Raw genomic sequence first — 7952 nt, 5'->3', positions numbered from 1 at the left:
TTTTTGCTATTTAGTTTTGTTCTAAGTAAAGTGTATTAGTCCATTCTCACACTGCTATAAAGAAACTACCTGAGACTGGGTAATTTATAAAGAAGAGGTTTAATTGACTCATAGTTCCATATGGCTGGGGAGGCCTCAGTAAACTTGTAGTCATGGCAGAAGGTGAAGGGAAGCAAAGACCTTCTTCACATAGTGGCGGGAAAGGGAGAGTGTGTGAGGGCACAGAAAAAACTACCATTTATAAAACCATCAGATCTCGTGAGAATTCACACTATCTCAGAGAACACCAGGGGGAAACCACCCCCATAATCCAATCACTTCCCTGTCTCAACACATGGGGATTACAATTCAAGGTGAGATTTGGGTGGAGGTACAGAGCCAAACCATATCATAATGAAAAATTAAAGTTCTAAATTATTGGCATACATGTTACTATGAGTTTTTATATTGTGCCATGCCAGTTTGAAATCCAAGCAAAAGAACATTTAACTTGTATACAGAATCCCCAAAATCACACAATTCATAATTTGTAGCTCATACATGCATATGTATTTTGTTCCTACCAAAACAGTGGAAACACTGCACAAAACAAACTCAATTGTTTTTATTTCACTTCTGTATATACCCACCTTCTACCAGCATTCTCTACCTTTGGTTTACCAATGAGTAAAAAGACTGAAAGGAAAAGGAACTATGGATTGTTTGATCTTTCTATGTCATCATTTTCCACTTATGCAGTTGGCAACACAGGCAAGCAGGAAAGCAGCAGAAAAAACTATATGATAGGCTGGGCGCAGTGGCTCATTCTTGTAATCCCAACACTTTGGGAGTCCAAGGCGGTTGGATCACCTGAGGTCAGGAGTTCGAGACCAGCCTGGCCAACAGGAAGAAACCCCATCTCTACTAAAAATACAAAAATTAGCTGGGCGTGGTGGCACACCCATGTAATCCCAGCTACTCAGGAGGCTGAGGCACGAGAATCACTTGAACCCGGGAGGTGGCAGTTGCAATGAGCCAAGATGGCACCACTGCACTCCAGCCTGGGTGACAGAGCAAGACTCTGTTTCAAAAAAAAAAAAGTATATGATAGGGTTCCTTGGTCATTCATATTTTTTAGAAGACCAATGTCTTCTTTTTATACTCAGAGAGCAAGTTCTGGTTTGAATGGAAAGCCTGGCTTCTTGGGTTTGACAGAGATTGGGATTACTCAGTCAAAGACACAATATACTTACCTTGTACTTGCTTTGGGTTTTGTTAGACTCCTGCACCTTGTGGATCCACCAGAATGTTGGGCACATGGGCATATGCCCCTGAGACAGTAAGGAGCACCTGCAGGCAAACATATCTGGCATACTTCTATGCTCACTTGTATGCCCCCATGGTCCCAACAGAATTCACTAACAAGAGACAGGTTAAAAGATAAAGTTCTGTTACCATCTTGAAACTAAGATTTTCAAGACAGTAACGGGAGAGCATTAATCCAAATGTGGGGCCTTTCTGAACATGAGACCTTGTGCAGCTGCACACACAGGCTTTATGCCTGTGATGCCAGACCTGCTTATCAGGTATGCTCATGACACACTGATTTTTTTTTAACTGTCTTCATGGTGGCCTGCTTTCCAAGGCAAGGCCCATTACAGCACAGAAAGTGCACACTACACTTTGTGGTGAGGGGACAGTTGACTTGAAAAGATAACTATAAATTCACCATTTCTTGCTGAAACAAATAAACCAGAATTAACTGTGTATCTATTCAGCAAAGGAATGGGAGTAAAATTAAATTCTGGATAAGTTTCCTTTAAGTTCTGTTGAGTCCACAGGATGGGAGGAAACATCTTGTCCTCAGGCTTTTGGGTCTTAAATCTGTCCTTCCTTCCTTGGCTTATAAAAACAGACTATGGCCTTCGGTTCACTGATTTTCCTTTGCTGGGCGGAATTCTAGGGCTCCTGAGTTCTTTACACATTCTGCTAATGATTGCCTGTTCTTCTCCAATCCTTGAAGCTTCATCCTGCTTTTTGCTGAATTGGGTTACTACACTGAAAGTACTTCCCAAAAATCAGTCTCCATCTGGAGAAAAAGGAATGCAACCACTGTACTCGAGTGGTTGTTAAAGCAAAAACTACACGCTGCTATTCCTTCTTTTAACAAAAACCCAAGATTTATGGGAGCTTTTTGCAAGGGAAATAAATTGCCACTTGTTACTGGGTGTAGCAAATGTTTTGACATTTCTATTTTTCTTTCGATTTTTGTCATCATATAGGAATGTATAATTCATTGTCATATTTATAAAAATTTCCATCATAGGTTCTGAGTTTTACAACTGCTGGGACCCACATTTTCTTCTAGTACTTTTAAGGTGATCATATGGTTTCTGTCATAGGACACTTTTATCTGCTACATATCATATTGAGTCATTGTCATTTCTGGTGAAAAACTTCCTTGGGATATTTTCTGCTATTTAATATATTAATGAATTGTATTTGCTAATATTTTATTTAAGATTATTTCCAGAATATGTCTTTCTTCTGGTGACTGATTTCCCCTAAATTTCTCATTTTCTGTGATTGTATCTTAGTTTAATTAGGTTTTTGTCCTTTTATTTCTAATCATTTCCTAAGGTTTGTCACCTCATTTCTAAGTTTTTTTCTAATTCTGGTTTATGGGAATTTTTTTTTCTTTTATCATTTTAGCGATTTTAAGTCACTTTGAAATGGTGGGTTGTATCTTACTCAGTTTTGTAGGCATGTCTTTCCGGTATGCTTTCATTTTCTATAGGGACACTATGCTGCTCCTCATCCTTATTATCTTGTATTAACATTTCCCGGGATTTTACTTCAATCCTTTTCTTTTGCTTGGTTTTATTGCCAATTCATGTTCCTTAACTTCTAGACTGAAGTATCATTCCAGGCCGGGCGTGGTGGCTCACGCCTGTAGTCCCAACACTTTGGAAGGCCGAAGCAGGTGGGTCATTTGAGGTCAGGAGTTCGAGACCAGCCTGGCCAACATGGTGAACTCCCTTCTCCATTAAAAATACAAAAGTAGCTGGGCGTGGTGGTGCACGCCTCTAATCCCAGCTACTCAGGAGACTGAGGCAGGAGAATGACTTGAACCTGGGAGGCAGAAGTTGCAGTGAGCCAAGATCGTGCCACTGCACTCCAGCCTGGGCAATAGAGTGAGACTCCGTCTCAAAAAATAATAATAATAAAGTATAATTCCAAATAGCTTTACTAACTTCACAGAGCTCCCTTTTCTCTTGTTTTTATCTAGGATTCAAAAATACATTGGCTTGATTTCTGAAATTTCCTGTCTTTTTTTCCCTCCTCCACTTGTATCTAGACCTTCTGTTTCCTTCCTCTCTGTGACCCTCTCCTGAATAATTTTGATTCTTCCCCTAGCAGTTTCTCCTTGTCGTGGGTTGCTCTCCCAGGAGGGAACCATGGCTGGTCAGTTTTGAGAATTCACAGGATCTAGGCCGTTCCGTTCCCTTCTGAATTCATGGAGGACCCTTAGTTTAAAGTTAGAACGATTTTCTAAGTAGTTTAACCCCTGTTTTCTCCGTATCTTTATCTCTCATGCCACTTTCTTATGCAATTAAAACTACCAAGAAATCATTTTCATCTATCCCCCTGAAGTGCTCACTTTCAGAATCTCCTGTCCTCCTATGCAACATTGGCTGTTTTTTAAGCCTGCTACCCAGCTGTCATGTGGGAACACTCACTCAGTGCGCTCACATTGGAACTCCATTTCCAGGAACCTAAGTTTTCCTTTTTCATGTTTTTCTCTCTAGTGGCTTCCTGACAAAATGTGCAAAAGAGATAATTTTTTTGAGACCTTTCATGTCGGAAAAGATTTTTATTCCACCCTCACTTGTGGTTGTTAAAGTAGAGAATTTTGGTTCTCTACATAAGTCACAATTAGAAAAAAACTTAGAAATGAGGTGACAAACCTTAGGAAAGGATTAGAAATAAAAGGTTGGATATCATTTTGCGTTCACTTTTTTTTTTTTTTTAAGAGACAGCATCTCGCTCTGTCAACCAGGCTGGAGTACAGTGGTGTGATCACAGCTCACTGCAACCTCCGCCTCATGGGTTCGAGCAATTCTCTTGCCTCAGCCTCCCAAATAGCTGGGATTACAGGCACATACCACCATGGCCCAGCTAATTTTTGTATTTTTAGTAGAGACGGGGTTTCACCATGTTGGCCAGGCTGGTCTTGAACTCCTGATCTCAAGTGATCCACCTCCCTCGGCCTCCCAGAGTGCTGGGATTACAGGCGTGAGCCACTGCGCCTGGCCTGGGTTCGTATTTTGAAAGCATTCTTCACTAGAATGATGGCTTTCCTAAAATTGAATATGTGTTGGTTTTGCTCCTGACATTTTAAGTGTTTGTTTGTCGCCCCCGCCCCCAGCCATGGTTCTCTGAAAGATCCTGTGGATGTGCCTCACTGTGGATGTTTTTCATTTATCATTCATGGTTCTTGGTGGTCTCTTTGAATTTAGAAGCTCAGTTGTTTAGTTCTGAGTAGTATTTCAGAAAATATGTTTATAAAATAATTTCTTCATGATTTCTCCCTTCTCTCTTTCCAGAAGACCTACTTGATGTTGTTCTTCTTTGACCAAGTCTCTCATTTTCTTTTTCTTTTTTTTTTTTTTTTTTTTTTTTTTTTTTTTTCTGAGATGGAGTGTTACTCTGTCGCCCAGGCTGGGGTGCAGTGGCGCGATCTCGGCTCACTGCAAGCTCCGCCTCCCGGGTTCACGCCATTCTCCTACCTCAGCCGCTGGAACTACAGGCGCCCGCCACCACCGCCGGCTAATATTTTTGTATTTTTAGTAGAGACAGGGTTTCACCGTGTTAGCCAGGATGGTCTCGATCTCCTGACCTCGTGATCCGCCCACCTCGGCCTCCCAAAGTGCTGGGATTACAGGAGTGAGCCACCGCGCCCGGCCCAAGTCTCTCATTTTCTAATATTTTCTTTTATCTGTAAACAAGTTCTCTGAGAAGGAAATTCAAGGACAGAGACTTCATTCCAGCAAACAGCTAGCAAGCTGGTGAGACACAGCCTTTGGTGTAAAATGAAAATGTGTTCCAGAGAACAAAGGAAGGGAATTTGTCTTTTAGAGAAAGTTCCCACCCAGGTTCCCACTTAGGTCTGCTTATGCAAAATGCAGGATTGAAATTTACTTAGTTCTGGTTGGTTGATGTTTGCTTAGTTAGCTCTTATTAGTCAGGGCATGCAGACTTCTGATTGATCCATGTAGGTTACAGCCTATTGTTTGGTTCAGGTGGCATAAACTGGAAGCTATGAAAGTCCCAAAGTTAAGCAGATGTGCACATTTTCTGGGAACTCAGAGTAAATATGTGACCTGTAGTCAGCAAATGGTTGCTTGGTTTTAATTTGAATTTAGGCCCAGTTAGCTGCTCAGGACTCATCTTAAGAGGCTGGTTCTTTACGCCAGGCACGGTGGCTCACACCTGTAATCCCAGCACTTTGGGAGGCCGAGGCTGGCGGATCTCTTGAGGTCAGGCATTCGAGACCAATCTGGCCAACATGGTGAAACCCCATCTCTGCTAAAAATACAAAAATTAGCCAGGCATGGTGGCATGTGCTTGTAATCCCAGCTACTTGGGAGGCTGAGGCAGGAGAATTACCTGAACCTGGGAGGTGGAGGTTGCAGTGAGCCAAGATCGCGCCAGTGCACTCGAGCCTGGGTGACAGAGCAAGACTCAGTCTCAAAAAAAAAAACAGAGAGAGAGAGAGACTGGCTCTTTCAAGGCTCACATATTTATCTTTTCATCTTTTTGTTCTAATTTTGGGGAGTTTTTTTTTAAATTTATTTTCCAATTCATCTATTGAAGTTTTCTTTTGGGACTTAGTTTTTAATTCTAAGAGGTCTTTTATGTGCTTCCTGTTCAATTTTAATGATGTTCTATCCATGTTTTAAATATACAGTATTTTTGTTACTTCTGAAAGTAATAATTATAGGTAGTTTCTTTTTTAAAGTTTTCTTCAACGTTCTTCATTATCTCTGTTTCCCCTGAGTGCTATTTTTTGTTTGTTTGAGTCTCTGTCTTTCTTGTTGGAGTGTTTTTCAATGTATCGTGATATTTTAAATTATGTTCGTTTTGAGTAAGACCTTAAACATTTGAAAGCTTTGTGTGAAGTGTCTGTGTTTCCTTCCAGAGTGGTTGTACAGTGAGCTCCCTTTTTGTGGAGAACACTCAAACAATTCTATCTGGAGGTATTTTCTCTGAGATTCTTCAGCTTCCTCAGAGAGACCCAACAATTCGGGCTGGCTACATAATTTACAAGGCCCAGTGCAAAATGAAAATGTGAGGTCTCCTGTTGAAAAGTCAGAAAAAAAGTTCAGTTAGAAATATTAAAATAGGTCCAGCGCGGTGGCTCAAGTCTATAATCCCAACACTTTGGGAGACCAAGGTGGGTGGTCTGAGGTCAGGAGTTTGAGACCAGCCTGGCCAACATGGTGAAACCCCGTCTTTACTAAAAATACAAAAATTAGCCGGGCATGGTGGCAGGCACCTGTAATCCCACCTACTTGGGAGGCTGAGGCAGGAGAATCACTTGAACTCGGGAGGCAGAGGTTGCAGTGAGCCGAGATGGCACCACTGCACTCCAGCCTGGGCGACAGAGCGAGACTCCATCTCAAAAAAAAAAAAAAAGAAATAGTAAAATATAAATCTTTTTCTTCTAAAAAGTCTTATTATTTATAACATGTAATGAGGTAACGGGTACACATATATAACAGCATAAACTACAAACAGCAAAGAAATAATGTTTTGGTGTCCTAATTTTATGTAAAACAATAAACCATAATACTTTAATAATGTATTAAATTGATTGACAAATCTTTCTGGCTTTTTTTCCGCAAGCTCATTTATTAAGTCATGAAAATTTATATTTTTGCCAACTTCATTTTCAATCTAGGTAATTGAAAGTGATGTCAATCATTCTTGGCAAATGCAAGATCTCAAATGATTTGTTATAATTTTTAGTCTGAAGAAGAAAACCAGGTGGAAAGAATAACATGAACAAAGGCAAAGAGATGGGAAAGAGGGAAGTAGTAAAACAGAACGGACAAGTCAGTGCGGGAAAATTTACATTAAGACAGTGAGGTGGCTCCTGCCTATAATCCCAGCACTTTGGGAGGCCAAGGTGGGAGGATCTGTCGAGCCCAGGCATTCAAGACCAGCCTGGACAACATGGCAAACCCCAACTCTACAAAAAAATACACAGATTAGCCAGGCATAGTGGCGTGTGCCTGTAGTCCCAGATATTTGGTAGGCTGAGGTGGGAGGATCACTTGAGCCTGGGAGGTTGAGGCTGCAGTGAGCTGTGATCATGTCACTGCACTCTGGCCTGGGTGACAAAACGAGACCCTGTCAAAAAAAAAAAAAAAAGAGAGAGAGTCGTAAATACCAAGCACAAAACTATAAGAAATGACAAAGGTAGGGCACAGGAGCTATAAGTGGAAGAGAAAAGGGGAGCAACATGAGATGTAGAAAATTTCTTAGAAAGCAACTGTCTGAAACTCGATCAGACTCATCAGACTGAGGTTGTCAGTATTGAATGTAACCAAGAGGGTATAGGGGAAAAAATAAAAGAAATGATGATTAGAGATGTGCAGTGATGTCTGAGAGGTTAATTTCAGTAAAATAGTGGGACCACAATTCAGAAATAAGAGGTGAAAAGTACAAGAAGCAATGCAGAAAAGTGCTATGGAAATGGACAGCCAATAGAAGGAATGCAGAAATATGAGCAATCTACAGACAGAAAGTGAATATAGAGACCACAGTCTAGACCCTTCACTTTACAGATGTGGAAACTGAGGCCCGAGGAGGTGACCAATTCCTTTACTTAACCTGGTTAGCAATGGAACTTAGACAGAAAACCAGTACAGATGAAATGGTAATTCAGGAAGGATAAGGATCAAAGG

This window comes from Homo sapiens, chromosome 17 (assembly GCF_000001405.40).
Source record: "Homo sapiens chromosome 17, GRCh38.p14 Primary Assembly".
In the NCBI taxonomy this organism is placed as follows: Eukaryota; Metazoa; Chordata; class Mammalia; order Primates; family Hominidae; genus Homo; species Homo sapiens.
This window is presented reverse-complemented; position numbering follows the sequence as displayed.